The following is a 20,924-nucleotide window of genomic DNA, read 5'->3' on the forward strand; positions in this document are numbered from 1 at the left end:
TTGCTGGATCAGAATATACCTTTTCACAAAATCCTTTATTGCCAGTAGGCACAAATCTTTATTGCTAATCGACAAGTTTAGAATTGACAAAAATTCCCCTGAAGAAAAATTAGACAATTGGGTAAATGCCAACAGTAATTGCTTCTTTTCTCAGGAGCTTGTGTTCCCAGAGAAATGGAAATCCTTGGAGAATGTTTGTCTGCATGATATTTGGTACCTGGCGTATCTAAACCCAGGTTTAGCAATCAAAACTGCTCAGGCCACTGTAAAAGGGGAGGATGTGTGCTAGAGCTAGAGAAACACAACTGAAAAGTGACAACTGGAGATGCTGATCAGCGGTGCAGATTGATTTCAAAAGTGAGTGAGATGTCTTGTGCTTTGCAGTCTCAGGACTAAAGACTACAGAACGCTGGCTTGGTACCTATGACTTCCAACAGCAGCATTAGTGCCATTCTCCAAGTCAAAGACAGCAAGTTGCAAATAAAATTTGGAACTGAGGTTTCAGGCAAAAGAAAGGTGAGTGTGTTCATCTCACACTTATGATTTGATGCTATTAGGTCTAGAAGTAATCACTGTAAAAACTGTAGGAAATATTTGTGAATACTTTCGTTCATTCATTTAATCAATCATTTATTCTTAAAAGTACTTTTTAAACTTTCAGTGATTTGCCAGATATGGGCTAATACTGGGAATACAGAAGAGAGGATGTCTGATCCACAGCCTGGCTTACAGTACAGTTCAGTCTAAAAATGTGCTGTTTAGAAATTAGAATTTTCTGAGCATGCAGTAGAAAGGTCCAATCAATTACAAGGAATTGGAGAATGGTTCTATGATTATTATAGTTTTGAATGAGATATGAAAGAAAACAAATGTTTGCCAGACAACAGAAAGTGTAATTGGTAAGACTATTTAATGTAGAAGGAACAGTAAACAAAAAGTCAGACAGCTAAGTGAATGTGACAAATTCCAGGAACTGAATGAAGCCAAATATTTCTCTCACAAAGGAGGAAGATACAAGACCTAAGAGTAGAAAGAGATGAGAGATAGTGGATATTTGTTTTTAATCATAAGATAAATTAAGAAAATCTTTTCCCTAATTTTTCTGAAGATGGATCGTCATGCTGTGGTTAAATATATTTAATGGCCAGAAATAAATAGCCTCTTCCTTTTTTAAGATCTCAAGTTATTAGAATATTTTTATATTGATTAAAGGGTGTATTCTTTTTTAATAGGAGAAAAAGGCATACAAAATTTATTTAATGTGTATATACATGGAAGTCATACACTAAGTATGAAACCCAAGAAGGACCAGGTGGTTGAGGCTTAAATACTCTCTTCATGGAAGAGAGATGTGTGGACGCAAGAGGTAGACATTATTTTGTAAATGATTATCTTTGGAAGCTGGATGAGACGGACAAGTTATGGAAGGTGAGGGGTGGAAATGCATGGGGACACAGGTTGTCTTATTATGCAGATAAAGTCCCCCAGGTAATCTCTTGGAGCTGCCTTGAGAATAGCAGATGAAAAGTCTGTCTGTGCATGGTGATGACTCCCAGTCTCTTCTCTGGTGGTTAATCTTTCCTGGTTATCTTTCCTGGATTCCAAAGAAGGGGGTCTTAAGACAACTGCATTTCTTTGGGAAAGAAGCTTAGTTAGATAAGGAAATTCCAAAGAGTCCCACCCAGTACTTTGGGGAAGAGGATCTGAGAGACAAGGAGGTGGGAGAAGGTCAGAAACAGCCCTTGGTTCTGAAGCTTATTTCCAAGGCCTTTTAAAGCACTCAGCATGCCAGAGTGCCATATTTTGGGGAATCATCTTCTGCACCCCAACATCACCTCTCTTCTCTCTTAGGAGAGTCCTTCCTTTCTAAATCTAGCTCTTGTACACGTACTCCATATCCCATTATTTTCTTCTTCTCTGAGACTTTTCCCCATTGAATTATCTCCTCTCTGGCTAGCATCTTCAACATCTAAAGGGTGTATTCTTAAGTCTGTCAAACACCATACACAAAATAAACACCTCTTCTCTTTTGTTTCTCTTTCAATGTATAAAAGTGTCTGCTAATTATTTCATTACCTTTAAATATTTTCCAAGCTCTTCACAGCTTCTATACAACTTTCATCTTGTCAATGTTCCTCCTTAAAAAAGACATTCATGGCCAGGCTCCGTGGCTCACACCTGTAATCCCAGCACTTTGGGAGGTTGAGTTGGGCGGATCGCCTGAGGTCAGGAGTTCGAGACTAGCCTGACCAACATAGCGAAACCCTGTCTCTACTAAAAAATACAAAAATTAGCTGAGCGTGGTGGCGGGCGCCTATAATCTCAGCTACTCAGGAGGCTGAGGCAGGAGAATTGCTTGAACCCAGGAGGTGAAGGTTGCAGTGAGCCGAGACCACACCACTGCACTCCAACTTGGGCAACAAGAGCGAGCGAGACTCCATCTCAAATAAATAAATAAATAATAATAATAATAAAAAAGACATTCATAATTAAACATAAAGTTCAAAATTTAATATGATAGGCATAGAATAGTACTTGCCAACCTCATAGTGCCCATAGAAGATGGTAATATTTGCATAGCATCTGGGGTAAGAAATTTACCCCAGCTTGTGGCAAATGCTGACCTCTAAGAGGCTCTGGATGCCACAGACTTCTCTTCATTGCCCCAAGGACTAAACACCAGCACTTCAGCACCATTGTAACACATTCTAAGTCCATGGCACATGAGTTGGGAAGCTATGTCGTAGATCTTATTGAGATTATGGCTCATCATACTCTAGAAATTGTTTTTTAATAAATAAGCTATGAATTTTCAATTGCTTTATCATCTATTATTCTATGGACTCCATTGGATTATTTTTTAAAATGCCTTTATGCTTTTATATAAACTACACTCAAACCAGATATCTTATATGGGAAGAATTAATTTTTAAACTAAGCTTAGAAGTTAATAAATATTTTCCCTGCTACATTTTAATTTGTTTCAACTCTGTTCTCAAACCTGGATGATCATCATCATTGATTTAGAAGTGTCATTTGTGTGTTTTTATTTTATTTTTCAGAGAGGTCAGATCTCTAAACCTCAACATCAAAGATTCTGATTCACTAAATCTGGTAGAGTGGTAGCAAATCTATATTAAACAACACAAACAGGATATTTACACATGAGTTGAAAAAAATTTGAAATTTGACAAAGATTTGAAAATATTTTCAAAGTTTCAGAAGCTACTAAAAGATATCTGAACTAGAATACAACTATCAATTATCAGAATTAGAGAGGGGGTAGCAATACTAGTTTAACTAAAATAAAACCACATGCAGTTTGGAAGTTTTTAATGCTCAAAGTTATTAATTCTACAAATAGCAATATGAACAAATTAGAACTATAGCAGTAAACTTCAGAAGAACTAGAAGCAGACACTGTTGGAACTATTCTACAGAGATTAGTGTCTGGGGAACAGGATAGAGTATATAGGGAGGTGATTCTGGAACGTTTGTTTTTCATTATAATCATGTTTACATTTTTACATTAATCCTTTTTTGTAAACACTTCAATCTCCCTAGATGACTGTGATGATCAATCATATTGGGAAATACCTGAATCAACAAACACTCTTTGTGTTCAAATATTTTCTTCTACATCTGACTGTAAAGCAACAAGCCTCCCATAACTCTATCTTATCCAGCATATATTCTGAAAGCCTGTGCCACCTGCCTGTATAAATTGAAGATGAACTGTGTCTATAGCACATTCACACCAAGCAATTGAAATATTAGTGTTAATATAAAATTATCTGATTGAGACGAGCTGTATTCTAGAAAGCAAGGCATTTACTGATCTTATATACAGATGTTGAGAAAGGGATATAGAGAATAATGGCTATAATATCCATCTTGAGTTTTTAGAGTACAATAATTGTTAACTTTTGAGAATCAATATCTTGACTCCCCTTTGATATTGCACTGAGATGATATTTTCCATAAATCCTCAGACATAAACAGCAGTATCTAAATATTCTCTTCAGGAATTTGTTGATATATTTTTCATAGTCATGCATTTTTTTTGTCTTTAAATAATTTTTTAAAATTTCAGTATACACCATAGAATACCACTGAGCCATAAAAAGGAACAAAATAATGACTTTTGCAGCCGCTTGGATGAAGCTGGAGGTCATTATTCTAAGTGAAGTAGTTCATGAATGGAAACCCAAATGTAATGTGTTCTCATTTATAAGTGGCAGCTAAGCTATGTGTGGAGGAAGAGGATCAGAAAAAAATAACTAATAGGTACAATGCTTAATACCTGGGTGAGTAAATAATTTGTACAACAAACCCCCATGACACAAGTTTACCTATATGACAAACCTAAACATGTACCCTGAACTTAAAAGTTAAAAAAAGAATTACATATTGATATATTTTTTAAACATATCGATCATCTGTTTAGATGTTATATCCAGCAATTGAATTATGTTAAATCTATACATAAGTTTGAGAGACTTAATATCTTTATAATAGTGAGTCTTATTATCCACAGATATGGTAAATCTCTTCTCTTATTAGGGTTTTTAAAAAATTAGTTGATACATAATTGTACATATTTGTGAGGTACCTGTGGTATTTTGATAGATGCATACAATGTGTAATGATCAAATCAGGGTATTTAGGATACTCATCACCTCAAACATTTATCATTTGTTTGTGTTGGAAACATTTTAAACCTTCTACCTATTTAAAAATACACTACATGTTGTTGTTAACTATAATCACCCTACTGTGTTACTGAACATTAGGAACTATTCCTTCTATCTAACTGTATGTCACGTACCCATTAATCCATATCTCTTCATACTTCCACACCCAGTCAGTCTTTCCAGCCACCAGTGACTGTCATTCTACTCTATCTCCATGAGATCAGCTTTTTTAGCTTCCACGTATGAGTAAGAATATAAAATATTTGTCTTTCTGTGCCTGGCTTATTTCACTTAACCATCAAATTACAGGATTTCGTTCGTTTTTTGGCTTAATAGTATTCCATTGTGTATGTGTACCACATTTCCTTTATCCATCCATCCATCCACTGATGGAGACTTAAGTTTGTCTAATTTAAGATTACTTAAAAGTTTTAACCTATAGTCATTGTATATGTTTTGCTTTATATTTTGAGGTATTTGGTGCTAATTTGTTGCTATTTCACATGATATTCTTTTTGTGCTTCTTTCAAAAATAAATTTTAATATAAGGAAACAGAAAATCTAATGAAAGGGAGTGAAAAATAGTATGCTGTGCAAACATTAACCAAAAAAATATTGTGATAGCCTAACAATGCTAAAAATGCTAACAAGAGACGAAGGAAGATTTAAGCAAGACACATTACTAAATATAAAGTTCTGCATTCCATAGCAATAAAGATTTTGGTAAAGATTCAACTACTAAAGGAAGAAATTTAAAAATCAGAAATTTTAGTGAGAGACATGGACATACTTAGCTACTAACCGTTAGAACATCAGACAAAAATATCACTGTGCATATTAAATGCCTCAACAACATAATTAGTGAAGTGAACATCATTGAAATGTGTGTATTAAGGGACCTCAATATCAGGCAATGTATCCTTTTAAGATGCATTTGGAATATTTATGAAAACTGATGATATGTTGTATTATAAAGAAAATCTCAGCAATTTGAAATAACTTCAATGATTCAGAGTATGTTTGTTAGCTACAATGAAATTAAGACAGACATTTTAAAAAGCCTGACTTCTGTAAAGTTAACAGTTTACTTTCTATAATCCACGGAACAACACAAATATAAAAAAGAAATTATAAAGTGTCTTAAACTGTATAATATCATAACTTTGATATATCAAAACTTGTGACAAGTAGCTAAAGTAGGGCTGAGAGGGAAATTTATACCTTATATGCACATATTACAAAAGACTATAAATGGAAGATGTTGATTAAGGTTCAGTTCAAAAATCTAGGAAAAGGACAGGAAATCATGCTAAAGAAATGAATAAAAATAAAATAAATTATTAGAAATAATTTAAATAAAAATAAATGTTAAAATCAACAGAGTAAAAAGTTAGCTTATTTAAATTGATTAATAAAATTGACAGACTTCTAGCATGAATGATCAAGACAAAAAGACAACCTTAATTTATTGGATTCAGGAATGAAGAAGCAAAAAATTTTGCATAGCCTACAAATATTTTTTAAATGTTAATTATTATGAAAAACATAATGTAAAATGTTTCATAATTTGTAAAGTAAGCAACTGAATTGAAAATTCAATTTAAGAAAACTAAAAAGAAAGATAAAATCTGAATATATGATATCTATTAAATAAATTCATTCCATTACTGAAATTTCTTACACACAAAATCCTGTAGGTCTAGAGAGCTACACTGGTGAATACTTCTATACATTTGGGGTTTCTGGTGGAAAATCTATTGCAAAGAAACATAATGTTTTTGAGATCCATGTTAAACGTATTTGTGATTTATATTTACTTTTTAAATTCTCAATAGTATTCAGTTTTATATATATGTACATATACACACACACACACATACACACACACCACAACTCATGCATCTACTCATCTGTTGATGAACATTTGAGGTTGTTTCTAACTTATGGTTGTTTTGAATAAGGCTGCCATGTACATTTTTGTACATATCTTTATGTAGACAAATGTTTACATTTTTCTTGGGTAAATACTAAGAGGCAGAATTCTGGATTTATTTAATGTCTGTTTAAGTTTATAAGAAATTGGCAAACTCTTTTCCAAAACAGTTGAACAATTTCACACTCCCTGCCAGCTTTGTATGACAAGTAGAGATGCTCCTGACACTTGATATATTCAGGTGTTTTTGTTTTGTTTTGTTTTTTCTATTCTATCATGGTTTGTAGTGTCTCATTATGGTGTTAATTTTCATTTCCTTGATTACTAAAAACATTGGATATATTTTCATAAACTTACTGACCAGTCATATATCTTTTCTGTGAGATAGCTCTTCTGATATTTCACTAGTAGTTAATATTTGGTTGTCTGTGTACTATTATTTGCATATGTTATTTACGTATTTTAGATAAAAGTCCTCTGTCAGGCATATGTGTTACCTTGAGCTTGCCATTTCATTTTCTTAATGTCATTAATTTTGTTTTCATTTTGATGAAATATAATCGAAACATTGTTAGTTTTTGGTTCTTTTGCTTTTTAAAAAATATTTTATTTTTTATTATACTTTAAGCTTTAGGGTACGTGTGCACAATGTGCAGGTTTGTTACATATGTGTACATGTGCCATGTTGGTGTGCTGCACCCATTAACTTGTCATTTAACATTAGGTATATCTCCTAATGCTATCCCTCCCCCCTCCCCCCACCCCACAACAGGCCCTGGTGTGTGATGTTCCCCTTCCTGTGTCCATGTGTTCTCATTGTTCAGTTCCCACCTATGAGTGAGAACATGCAGTGTTTGGTTTTTTGTCCTTGCGATAGTTTGCTGAGAATGATGGTTTCCAGCTTAATCCATGTTCTTTCTAAGAAATCATAAACTTTTCCAAGATATCAAGGATTTTATCAGTTGTTTTTCCAGAAGTTTTATAGTTAGTTTTATGCTCAGGTCTGATTTATTTCAGATTTATTTTGGTGTAGAAATGTGTTAAGAAATGTATAGATTTTCTAAATTTTGTATTTTTTTAAATAATTTGACTCATTCATTTGAAATGTAACTTTAGTGAATGGAATAGCTACATCATCTATTCACTGTTTAACAGAAAGGGGATCACACTTGTAATTCTGTTTTTTAATTGTGTGTCTCTACTTTTTACTCCCTTCTAATTCACAAAAGTTGAAGAAAATCAAAGGAAATACTGAGGTAGTAAGATTGCTGTTTCTGTACATTGAAATCAGTAATTTCTTACTATCTTCCCATTTTTACACGCTTAATAGACATTAACAACATAAGATTGACCTTCTTCACTTACTGATTTATGAGTCTGAAAATGTTATTATTAATAGGTTAATAATGTTCTCTTTTACAGATTTGAAAGTCATGACACAAAGAGGCTATTTTACATGCTCAAGGGTATTGGCTAGTAAATGACGGGGTCAGAATTTGAATACAAGCACTTTGACTTTAGAGCCTGTCCATTCAACAACTACTCATTCTGTTTCCCTCAAGGGATGTCAGAGATACTTCCCTGTAGCTCAGAGATGACAAACTGTATAATTATGGCCACTGCAGCAGATAGATATTCACAATGATCATTGTAAATGTTGTTTCATTTTAATAATGTCTGAAAATATGAATGTTTGATGTACAAATCTGGATTTCTTGATAATTACATAAAACATTGAAGTCTGACAATAATAAGATTTCTGTTCATCCCTGACAGAAATTAGTTTCAGGTTATTAGAGGTTACTGTCTGTAGACAGGGATTGTTCTCCCCAAGTTGTCACTCAGCCATTTTTACTTATTTACACTGGCTTCTCTAAGAATTTAAGTTTGCAAGTATTAGCTTAAAAATACTGACTTGAAGATCATTGAAATATTCAAAATACAAAATAGACACTCAAAGTTTTTAATTATTATAAACATAGGTAAAATATTATCATATAGAATACCAGTTACTAGAAAATAAAGATTACTACATGCTAAATTGGGATAAATTATGATTCAGTTAATTGAACCGGAGTTAAATGATCATATATAAACAAGGGATCACTTTCCTACAAAAGGAGAATAACAATACAATTCACCTAAATACCATGTTTTTTCTCTCCCCTGCAGAAACTCATCAAAGAATGGCAGCAGAAAACCATTCTTTTGTGACTAAGTTTATTCTGGTTGGGCTAACAGAGAAGTCAGAGCTACAGCTGCCCCTCTTCCTCGTCTTCCTGGGAATCTATGTAGTCACAGTGCTGGGGAACCTGGGCATGATCACACTGATTGGGCTCAGTTCTCACCTGCACACACCTATGTACTGTTTCCTCAGCAGTCTGTCCTTCATTGACTTCTGCCATTCCACTGTCATTACCCCTAAGATGCTGGTGAACTTTGTGACAGAGAAGAACATCATCTCCTACCCTGAATGCATGACTCAGCTCTACTTCTTCCTCGTTTTTGCTATTGCAGAGTGTCACATGTTGGCTGCAATGGCATATGACGGCTACGTGGCCATCTGTAGCCCCTTGCTGTACAGCATCATCATATCCAATAAGGCTTGCTTTTCTCTGATTTTAGTGGTGTATGTAATAGGCCTGATTTGTGCGTCAGCTCATATAGGCTGTATGTTTAGGGTTCAATTCTGCAAATTTGATGTGATCAACCATTATTTCTGTGATCTTATTTCTATCTTGAAGCTCTCCTGTTCTAGTACTTACATTAATGAGTTACTGATTTTAATCTTTAGTGGAATTAACATCCTTGTCCCCAGCCTGACCATCCTCAGCTCTTACATCTTCATCATTGCCAGCATCCTCCGCATTCGCTACACTGAGGGCAGGTCCAAAGCCTTCAGCACTTGCAGCTCCCACATCTCGGCTGTTTCTGTTTTCTTTGGGTCTGCAGCATTCATGTACCTGCAGCCATCATCTGTCAGCTCCATGGACCAGGGGAAAGTGTCCTCTGTGTTTTATACTATTGTTGTGCCCATGCTGAACCCCCTGATCTACAGCCTGAGGAATAAAGATGTCCACGTTGCCCTGAAGAAAACGCTAGGGAAAAGAACATTCTTATGAACAGAAGTACAATGAAAAAGATTGCATTAGATCTAAGTTTTTGGCTATGATATTGTATGAAATGATGTCTTTCACTTTAGTGCATCTGTCAACATTCTTTCTAATTTGGGGGGATTTTACTGACGTTATGTCTTATGCACATGGTCTATTTCATGCCATTTCCCTCTCATTTTTTCTCTCATAAGGATTACGAAGACATGATATTTTCTTAGAAGAAATAATAAGATTGACATAGTGAAATAGTGGCATAACCTGATAATGCCAGTTACATTCCCTTCCCCCTTTTCTTTCATGTAATTGATTAAAACATACTCCTCAACATAATAAAAACACTATCTTCTGGTGATAAAATACTATCATGCGGTGATGACTAGCAATCTGTTTTTTTTCTATCCACTCAAAAACAGCATAAGCCATAGCAATGGTAGGCCTGTAATCTTTAGTGTTTGCACATGTTTAGCCTAGAAAAGCCTATTACACATTATCCCATCCCATATATGTTTCTTTGAGGTTATTTCCTCTCTCTCCTGCTTAAAGGCAAAATCTAATCAGAACTTTAAAATCTGAATCACAGATCCATGTACATGCAGTTAATTGTTCCCAATCTAGTATACCCTTGCTATGCCATCTATTATTCTAGTTGTTAATTGCCTACTCGTTTTTAAATCCTGTACTGGACAGTAACCTCCATGAAAGAAATCCCTTGGACATATGGTTCACTGCTACATCTCCAATTCATAGTTGAGTGCCTGCTACATATTAGGCCTTTGAATTTTTCTTTCTTTTTTTTTTTTTGAGATGGAGTCTCGCTTTCTCACTAGGTTGGAGTGCAGTGGCACAATCTTAGCTCACTGCAACCTCTGCCTTCCGGGTTCAAGCAATTCTCCTGCCTCAGCCTCCCAAGTAGCTGGGACTACAGGAGCACACCACCACGCCCAGCTAATTTTTGTATTTTTAGTAGAGATGGGGTTTCACCATGTTGGCCAGGCTGGTCTCGATCTCTTGACCTCGCGGTCTGCCCGCCTTAGCCTCCCCAAGTGCTGGGATTACAGGCGTGAGCCACCACACCCGACCAATAAATTTTTAATATTTATTTCCTCCCTATAAGATATTTATATGAAAACAAGTACATATCCAACACAGTTGTCACTCATTAACCACTTCAAGTACTACATACAGCATTTGTTTGTTTGTTTTTTGTTCAAATTGGTTATGTTTAAGTTTGAAGAATTCTTTAAGGATCTGTAAGATACCTGGTAACATCTTTAGCTGTTTCTATACAAGGAGTTTGAACTATTAGCCTTGACTTCCTTATGTGGTAAATCGCACACACATATGATAACTTGCATGTACCTGATTTTGTAAGTCTTTAAATCCTGTTGACAACCAAGGAGTCCCTGAAACAAATCTAATTTATTCTTAAATTTAAGTAGGCAGCATAAGAAACTCAAGTATTTTAAAACAGATTTGAAATCTAATACAACAACATGACAAATTACGTGGTAGAGTGATGTCTGGGGCCCAAACAACACAGTCTAGACCATCATTCCCAGGACAGAAAATAACTTCACCCATGCTGGCGTAGGGGGAATTATTCTGCTGTTTAGACTTACAGAGAAATGGCATTAAATATTTAAGCATAGAAGTCTTGGTTACTGTTTCCAGTTGATCAATTTTATTCACCCTTTGTTTTTCTTTGTTTTTCATTTTCTTCTTTTTTTTTTTTTTTTGTTTTGGTTGTTTCTCTGCTTGACGGTCAGCTCATGTAGGCTGCTTTATGCATAAAATTATTTATAGCCCTCTGCTTATACAGTTTGTAATTCATCTAAGCCTTTAGCTGGAGGGAAGGTAGGAGAGTAAGCTACAGCTGTAAAGGGCTGTTTCCTGGAAAATCTAAAAACACATTACACTAATCATATCAAATAGAGCTGGTCAGGGTCTCCGTCAGTCATGGACTCTATTGTTTTGAGCCAACACAAATGCTAGCGTGAATGTATTTCTTCCACTTATGGCTGATTTCTCTAAGCCAAACCAAACTATTGGCTTATTTGGTATTGCCTGTGTACCTCAGGGTAATCAACACAACATAAACGTATGCCAGAATCAGACCTACAAAAATATACTTGTAAAGGCTAGAAATGTCATTTCTTCAGAGAACTCATCTTTGAAACTGCAGCTAAATTATACACTATCCCTCTCTTCTTGCTCTCAGATACTGGCTACTTTTCTTCTCAGCACGTATGGCTTATGATAATAATATGATACTTAAATGCTTATTCTTTTAATCTTTCTCTGTTGAGTTGACTTAAGCTCTAATAAGACATAGACACTCAAATAACATTGATTGAAAATAGTACCAGACACCTCAGACATCCCATGTCAGATCCTCTGCCTACCTCTCATTTCCGTCTCGTACACATCTGTTAGTTCTGTGCAAGCTCAAACTCAACTTGCATTAACAGAATTCCACTTTAAATATCCACGATGAAACTTTTTTCATATTTTAAAATTAATGTTATTTTTAGGACAGTTTTAAATTTATCAAAAACTTTTTATGATAATACAGAGTTCCCTTGCCCTGTATAATTTTCCTATTACTAACATCATATATTAATATGCTACACTAGTTACAATGAATGAGTCATTGAAACATTATTAAATAGCATCTATATTCTTTTGTTTACTTGTTTAATTGGAACAAATATATTATTTGTGGTGTACAACACTGATGCTTTGATATATGCATACATCGTGGAATGACTAAATCAAGCTAATTAACATATCCATTGCCTCACAAATTTATTATTTTTTTGTGGTGAGAACATTTAAAATCTACTCTCTTAGCAATTTTCAAGTATACGATATACTGTTATTAGATATACTTGCCTTGTTGTACAATAAGTCTACTGAACTTATTCCTCCTAACTGAAATTTTTTATCTTTTGACCAACATCTCCCCAGTTGCCATCCCCTCCCGCAAACCCTGGTAACCACCATTTTACGTGCTGCTTTGATCTACTTTTTAGATTCCACACATAAGTGAGATCATGCAGTGTTTGTTTTTCTGTGCTTGGCTTATTTCATTTAACAAAATATTCTCCAGATTCATCCATGTTTTAGCAGATGACAAGATTTTTTTTTAAGTCTGAGTAGTATTCCATTATGAATATACACCTCATTTTCTTTATCCATTAATGTGTTGATGGACACATATTGATTACATAACTTGGCTACTGTGAGTAATGCTACAATAAACATGGGAGTACAGATATCTCATCAACATACTGATTTCATTTCCTTGGGATATATAACCAGTAGTGGGATTGTTGGATCACATGGAAGTTCTATTTTTTAATTTTTGAGGAAACCATACTGTTTTAAATAATAGCTGTGTGAATTTGTATTCCCGCCACCAGTGTGCAAGGGCTTTCTGTTCACATCCTAGCCAACCCATGTTATATCTTGTCTTCTTGATAATACCTATCCTAATAGCTATGAGGTGATACCTCATTGTGGTTTTAATTTGTGTTTCTCTGATGAATAGTGATGTCAACTATCTTCATTTACCTGTTGGCCATTTGTAGGTCTTCTTTGGAAAAATGTCTATTTGGGCCTATTTTTAGGTTGGTTTATTTTTTTCTTGCTATTGAGTTGACTTTTTAATATACTTGGATATCAATCCCTTATCAGATGTATGGCTGCAAATATTTTCTTTTATGCCATAGGTTATCTCTTCACACTGTTAATTATTTCCTTTTCTGCACATAAGCTTCTTAGTTTGATGTACCCTCATCTATCTATTTTTGCTTTTCTTTCCTGTGCTTTTGGAGTTCAATCTAAAAGGTCTTTGCTCAAACCAATATCAAGAAGATTTCCCTAATGTTTTTCTCTAGTAATTTTATATTTTCAAATCTTATACTTTATGTTTTTAATCCATTTTGAGTTCTTTACTTTTGTACATAGTGTGAAATGAGGCCAATTTTTATTCTTTTGCTTGTGGATATCCAGTTTTTCCAACAGATTTTTGAAGTTTCTGTCCTTCCAATATTGTGTGTTCTTGACACCTTTGTCAAAAATCATTTAACCACAAATGAGTGGATTTATGAAGTTTCATTTTCACCATATTATATCAAAGGTACATACTATCAACTTTAAACACACTTATTACTGTTGATGCCAACCTTGATTTTGTGGTTGAGGTAGTGTTGGTCTGGTTTCTTCACTAAAAAGTTACACTTTTTTTCATATTTTCTGTACTCTCTGGAAGAAATTCAGTATGCATGGCTTACACTTAAAGAGTGGATGGTTATGTTTCACTTTATTTAGGGTGAAGTATCTTCATAAATTATTCAGAATTCTTCTTTGTGAGATTTTTCTCTTTTCTCATTTATTTATTTGTCCAATCATGTATTTATGTTACCAGTGTGGACTCATGGATATTACTATATATATTGGGTTATAATTCAATAATACTTTATTTGCTGCTCAAATTGTTCTAACATTGTCATCGGAGTTCCTTTAGTTGATTCCTGAATCCCTTTGACAAACTTGCATCAATCATCAACGTAGTGTTTTTTGTTTGCTTTATGATACCTCCCCTACTTCTAGCACCGTAGTATGCCCCAGGTTTATCTTGCATACTTCCTGCCTAGTTTTCGAATCACTTATTTCTCCTATTGCTAACAATAATGAAAGGAAAGTCTTGTTAGCAATAGAATAAAATATAGGCTCCTATCGCACCTCATTCACAAAATTACCAAATATGTCTAGGTCTACTTTTGCACTCTCTATTGTTCTGTTTTTTTTCTCTACAATCACCTATAACACACAACCTAATCTGTGGGAAAGGGAGTTTCTGGAATGCCAGATGAGTTGGTCTCCCCTGTGTGAGACACCCATGGGGAGCCACGGGCAGACTATGAGGAGAAAAGTCTCCTTATTGCCCTAATGTCTTTATGCCCCAAGAGCATAACAGCTCTGTGGCATGCCACAGGTTGTTCGGGGAATTAACACTCTCTTGAAGCAGTGGAGTATAATCAAACATCTTGGCTCCTCCTGAAACCTGCTCCCACCCATTTCAGTCCCTAGAAGTTAAAGATCTTAAGTAGTTTAGACATATGCCTTTGCTCAAGGAAATTCACAGAAACCGCCACTGCTATGCATCTTATTGAATGACTCAGGAGTTCTCCTTCACTGATTAATCCTTTTCCTCATCCCTTCCTCCCCCTTCCATCTGCCCTAAGAACAAAGAGCTTGTAAACCAATAAATTGGGTGGAGGCCGAGAGCTCAGGGCCGTGAGCAAGCCTCGGAAGCTATGGTCCCCTGGACCCGCCTTTTAAATTATTATTCTGTCTCTTTCTAATTCCTCTGTCTCCGCTGGACTCGGGGTACCTGCCAGGTGGTGTGGTGTGTCAACACTAATCTGTGTCATAGTATTTCTCAAAACATTTTAGTTTATATCATATACCTTTGTTCTTTGTCAAGATAGCTTTAGATATTCTAAGGCAATCAAAATTCCATATGATGTCTAAATTTGACAGACTTGCAAGAAAAAGTAGACAAATCCACAAGTATTTTTGGAGATACTTATGCCACTCTCTCAATCACTGATAGAATAAGTAGACAGAAACATTTTAAGAAAGCATTTCAAAAAGCATGATTTATAAAAAAATCAAATTGATACTGTAGATTTTATCAAAATTAAAAAGTTTTGCTCCTCCTAAGACATTGTTAAGAGATTAAAAACATAAATCTCAGAAAATATTTGCAGATCAGGCATTGACTAAAGTCTTGTATTCAGAATATGCAAAAATTCTCAAAACTCAATAATAAGAAAACCCATAAAATGAACAAATATTCGAATTCATCACCGTTGTTATAATGATGGCAAATAAACACATGTTAAGATACCACAGTACACCTATTAATTAGAATGACCGACATTAAAAGTATAAGCTGAGACTGTGCATTGACTGGAACTATCACAATCTGGTAGTATGAATCTAAAATGATACAGCCACTTAAAAAAACAATTTTCCAGTTACTAAAAAATTAAACATATATCCACTATATTACTCACCCTTTCCATATTAAGTAGTTACTCAGGAGAAATTAAACATATGTTTATACAAACACTTGTACATTAATATTCACATTAGCTTTATTTGTCATAGTCCAATACTGGAAATGACGCAAGTATTCCTTAATTGAAAATGCTTTGTGGTTTATTCATCCAAATCCATACCACTCAGTAGTAAAAACATTGAACAATTGATACACACGGCAACATGGATAAATCTCAAAATAATCATGCTAAGCAGAAGGAGCCAAATCTGCACCCCACCCCCCAGAAAAAAGTACGTCTATATAATTTCATCTTTGTAAAATTCTAGCAAATGCAAATTAATCTATATTGACAGAAAGCAGATGATTCTTTGTGTGAGGACAGGAGTAGGGCATTACAAAGGGGCAGGAAGAAAACATCTGTGGATAGCAGGTATGTTCCTTAGCTTGGTGGTGATAATTTTACATATATTACATACATACATACATACATATATACACACATATGTAAGTGGTGATGTTTTTATATTGTATATATGTATATAAATTTGTATATATATGTGTGTAGCAAGATAGATAACACCAAGTTGTGTATTTTAAATATGTAAATATTGAAGTAAATTCACAGGAGTTGACCAAAAACATTCCAATCTAATTCTAGTCTGAAAATTTTCAAAAAGGTCAAACTTTTTAATCTTATAAATACTTAAGATTTTCTTCCACAACAGAACGGATCATAAGGCCTAATTATTTAGTTCATTCTTATAGTACATCCGCATTAACTGACGCTTACTGAGTGGAAGACACGGCTTCATGACACTCCTGAGAGGAAGACCTAAGAACAGACAGTGCAAATCAGGAAGCGCAGCCTAGAAGCTTACTCATGGTCACTCTATCATAGGTGCTAATCTCAGTTCTTCCCAATATATTAGATTAGAGGAGTGGAGAAAACTGGGTAGTTCAAAGCCCTCCTTACAGGTGCACGTCTGAATTCTGCCTTTACAAATTAATGTGTCTGCAGACTCTAAAAATATCCTTACAAATGCAGATTATTCTAGAAATTAAAGAAATGAGATAATTGCCTAAGAAAAAGAAGTCTCTGCTCACATTGTAGGGAAGGGGGTACCAGGAAGGCAGGGGAGAAGATAAATTTTCCTCCATTTCAATTTCAAAGACCCACCCAATGTGTTCAAACCATTTATGAAAGAAGCCATCTTCTTGAAGTCAGTTTACTGGCTACCTGTGTTGTGTCAAGCATAATTGTTGTTGTTAATTTTACAAAGACATTTTAGCCGTGATCTTTGAGATGTATGAGTTCACCAACCAATGGAAGAACCAGGCATAATAACCCATAATAAAATGTGATAATAATAATAGCATGTCTATGTACCAGACATTAATGGAATCACACATATTTATTAACTCATTTAAACCTCATAACTATACTATATAGTAGATATGTCTATTATCTGCATTTTACAAATGAGGAAACTGAGGCATGGAGAAGTTAAATAACTTCTCAAATGTTACAAAGATAGGAAAAGACAAAGCCAGGCTTAGAACCCAGGCAATCTGACTTCAGCAAACGTTCCTTTAATTATTTCACCCTACAGTCTACTGCAATTAGCTTAGCACACATGTGATAAGAGCACAAAGCCATGAGTTATGAATTCTGTTTATGGGGCTCTAAGAAGGCTTTGCAGGGAAGGTTACATGAGAGTCAGATTTTTAATGATGAACAAAATTTGTCATGGAAAAAAAGAAATGAAAGAATGAAGGAATATAAAGCAAATGGGTGATATGAAGCACTTCAAAAAGAAGTGGACAATTTGACATAGTCACGAGTAAAAGGGAGAAAGAAGGGACTGACATTTTGCTAACATAATTGTTAATCATGGCATGGGTTCATGTAATGTCAAAGAGCTTGATTTGAGTTAGAAAACCGACAAGTGGCAGCAAGAATCAATTCAATAATGAATGCACAACAGGGGTGCTTAAATGCTTTTGTTTAATATTTAAATCATTTGGTTTTCTTATCAGGCTATTTGTCTTTCTAGCGACTGTCATCAGCATCATATAGGTCCCATTGGTACAAGTATCTCAAAATCAGCAACTGATTATTATGCACAATCAATTGCTAGTTATCTTGGGCCTCTAATTGCAGCTGTTTTCCTGCTTGCCATCTTCTGTGAAAGAGTCAGTGAACAGGGAGCATTCTGGTTGGACTTGTAATGGGCCTTACGGATATGATTGCAGAGTTCACCTTTGGAACAGGGAGTTGCTTATCTTCCAGTGACTGTCCCAAGATTATCTGTTAAGAGCACTGTCTGTACTTTTCCATCATTCCTTTTTTTTTTTCTCTCTTTTTGGTGGTGGGTGGGGGGCAGTCTATACTGGCAGTCTTAGGAATCTCCCTCTTAACAAAACCTATTCCTAATGTACGTATTATCCTGAGCAATCTCATGGATATCTCAAGAAAGCTTATGACTTATTCTGTGGTTTGCGGAAGACAGGGCTCAAGCTGCCCAAGGAGGAGGAAGCCCCGAGAAAGAAGCTGTCATCTGAGAGGCCCTTGTGGAGGACTGCAGTAAACATCAATGTCATCCTCCTCCTGGTGGTGGTGGTCTTTGTTTATGGCTATTTTGCCTGAACTCTGAGCCACTAAAATACTTGATAATTATTAATAAGTAAACCAAGGATAATTTTATGAATTTTCTTATAGCTTCTTGTGTTGCAGAAGGGAGATGAGCAGTTGGTAATTTTGTCTAAGGAAATGACTAAAGACTTGATATTTTGCTTTAATTGTTTCTTTGTATCATTAAGAAAAAGTTGGGCCGGGCGCGGTGGCTCATGCCTGTAATCCCATCACTCTGGGAGGCTGAGGCAAGCAGATCACCTGAGGTCAGGAGTTTGAGACCAGCCTGACCAACATGGTGAAACCCCGTCTCTACTAAAAATACAAAAATTTAGCCGGACATGGTGGCGGGTGCCTGTAATCCCAGCTAGTCGGGAGGCTGAGACAGGAGAATCGCTTGAACCCAGGAGGCAGAGGTTGCAGTGAGCCAAGATCACGCCATTGCACTCCAGCCTGGGTGCAACAGGGCGAGACTCTGTTTCAAAAAAAAAAAAGAAAAAGACAAAAAAGAAAAAGTTGACAATTTATAAAACTATTAAGTGACCCTATAATGTGTGTAAACCAGAAACATAGGGTCTAAATTATTGTTTCCAGCTTTATTTTGGTATAATTAAAAAATAAAAATTGTATGTATTTAAGATGTAAAAAAAAAAAAGGAAGGAAGGATCGGTGGAAGGAACACTAGACAAGCGACTTAAATTTCATGACCAAAGAACACTATGGAAAGTTAAGGAGTCTTAACTGTAGCATATAGGCTGTGGATGATGGGGATGAATTCAAGGTGTTAAAGCAGAGAAATGTCAGGTGAGATTAGTTTGCACTGAAAATACCTGTCAGGCCAAAGATTACATTGTACATTGCGTTAGCAAAATAGAGACAGCTCTACTCTTGTACACTACTTCATATTTCATATCCACTGGGATTTGTATTTGGGCCCGGATCAGTCATCCTCAGAGGCCTCCTCTGCTCTGCAATTTACCTCCTGGATCCTTTTCCTTCTCTTTTCTGATCTCATGCAGCAATCATGTAATGAAGCTATGGAAAAATCATAAGATTTCTGGTTTCTTTGTTATTCTTTTTTTTTTTGTAGAGGTGGCAGGGGGATGAAGTTTCACTCCGTCACCCAGGCCGAAGTGCAGTGGCATGATCTTGGCGCACTGCAAACTCTGCGTCCCAGGTTCAAGCGGTTCTCCTGCCTCAGGCTCCCAGGTAGCTGGGATTACAGGCATGTGCCACCACGCCAGGCTAATTTTGCATTTTTAGTAGAGATGGGGTTTCACCATGTTGGCCAGGCTGGTCTTGAACTCCTGACCTCAGTTGATCCTCCCACCTCGGCCTCCCAAAGTGCTAGGATTATAGGTGTGAGCCACTGTGCCCGGCCTGTTTCTTTGTTATCTTTCCAATATATCACTGTGTTTTCCCTCAGTCAGAATTATCTTCTATTTTGTTATATATTACCATGTTGGCCGATGCACCTCTAGAGTTCCTTAATTTTCTAAGGTTAAACTGTTGCACATGTCCTTGTGCATGTTAATCTATGTGAAAGTCAGAAAGAGAAAAAGGTAAAGAGGTAAGCTTCAGGAGAAACAAAGAACCTCCTTTACAAAAGGATTTCTAGTCTGAGTGAATGGTAGGCCCCAAACAACTGTAACCTGTAAGAACAGATTAAGTGATATTTTATCTTAATGAATGGGAAACTTCATGGTTAGCAGGATGTGAGTAACACTCATGCACATAAACCGCAGGACCACTGGACTCATGATAAGTAGAACACTGAGAACCTCAATGTCATCTGTTTACAGACCCAAGTGATCATTATCACTGACCTCCTTTCAACCATCAACTTTTTCCAGCTAGTGGTTTACCATCTGTATAGACATTTATTTCCTGATTTATGATAATGTTAGTAACATGTTCTCCTAGGGACCTCCAAAATCCAAATATAAATGTGTAAGCAGTCTCTTTTCCTGCCTAGACTTCATAACACAATCTTATGCAATTTGCCATTTACTTCTCTGCTCAAACATTCTCCATCTGCTAGGCTGTCTCCTCCTCCTCTTCCTCCAAACCACCTCTCAGTTGAATCTTTAATCATTCTTTCAAGTACATCATTTTTTCTGAAACTTTTTAAAAAATGATTAAAATATGAAATGAAAATGAGATATGTGGAGTGCCAGTTAAGAGGGTAAAATTGTGTCATCAGAGAATATTACAAAGCGTACTTTGTGCTCATCTCCCCTATTTTGTTTTCCTAAGTGGCACTTTTTTAAGTGAATGAAAATGACCCTAGAGTGGCAAGATGACAGACTAGATGCAGCCAAGAAGTTTGGCTCGCATAGAACATGATTTCAACTACACCAACATAACTTGAACACTTATTGGGAGAGAAAATGCTCAATGTGAATGGAGAAAAGATGCAGTCCCTAAGGCTGAAGCGAGGGGAAACTGGGAACCCTGATTGGGGTGCCTGAATGCT

The 20,924-nt window shown here is 35.6% G+C and overlaps 1 protein-coding gene and 1 pseudogene across 1 annotated transcript; both read left to right on the top strand.

Annotated features, from left to right (window-relative positions):
• Positions 1 to 257: 257 nt before the first annotated feature.
• Positions 258 to 10,106, top strand: OR8G5 (olfactory receptor family 8 subfamily G member 5). The gene is made up of 2 exons (NM_001005198.2): positions 258 to 516; positions 8,800 to 10,106. The coding sequence occupies exon 2, from the start codon at positions 8,814 to 8,816 to the stop codon at positions 9,747 to 9,749; it is 936 nt and encodes a 311-aa protein (NP_001005198.2). The 5' UTR covers positions 258 to 516; positions 8,800 to 8,813; the 3' UTR covers positions 9,750 to 10,106.
• On the top strand, positions 17,852 to 18,460 carry SLC5A4P1 (solute carrier family 5 member 4 pseudogene 1; annotated as a pseudogene).

Source organism: Homo sapiens, chromosome 11, assembly GCF_000001405.40.
Source record: "Homo sapiens chromosome 11, GRCh38.p14 Primary Assembly".
Classification (NCBI taxonomy): Eukaryota; Metazoa; Chordata; class Mammalia; order Primates; family Hominidae; genus Homo; species Homo sapiens.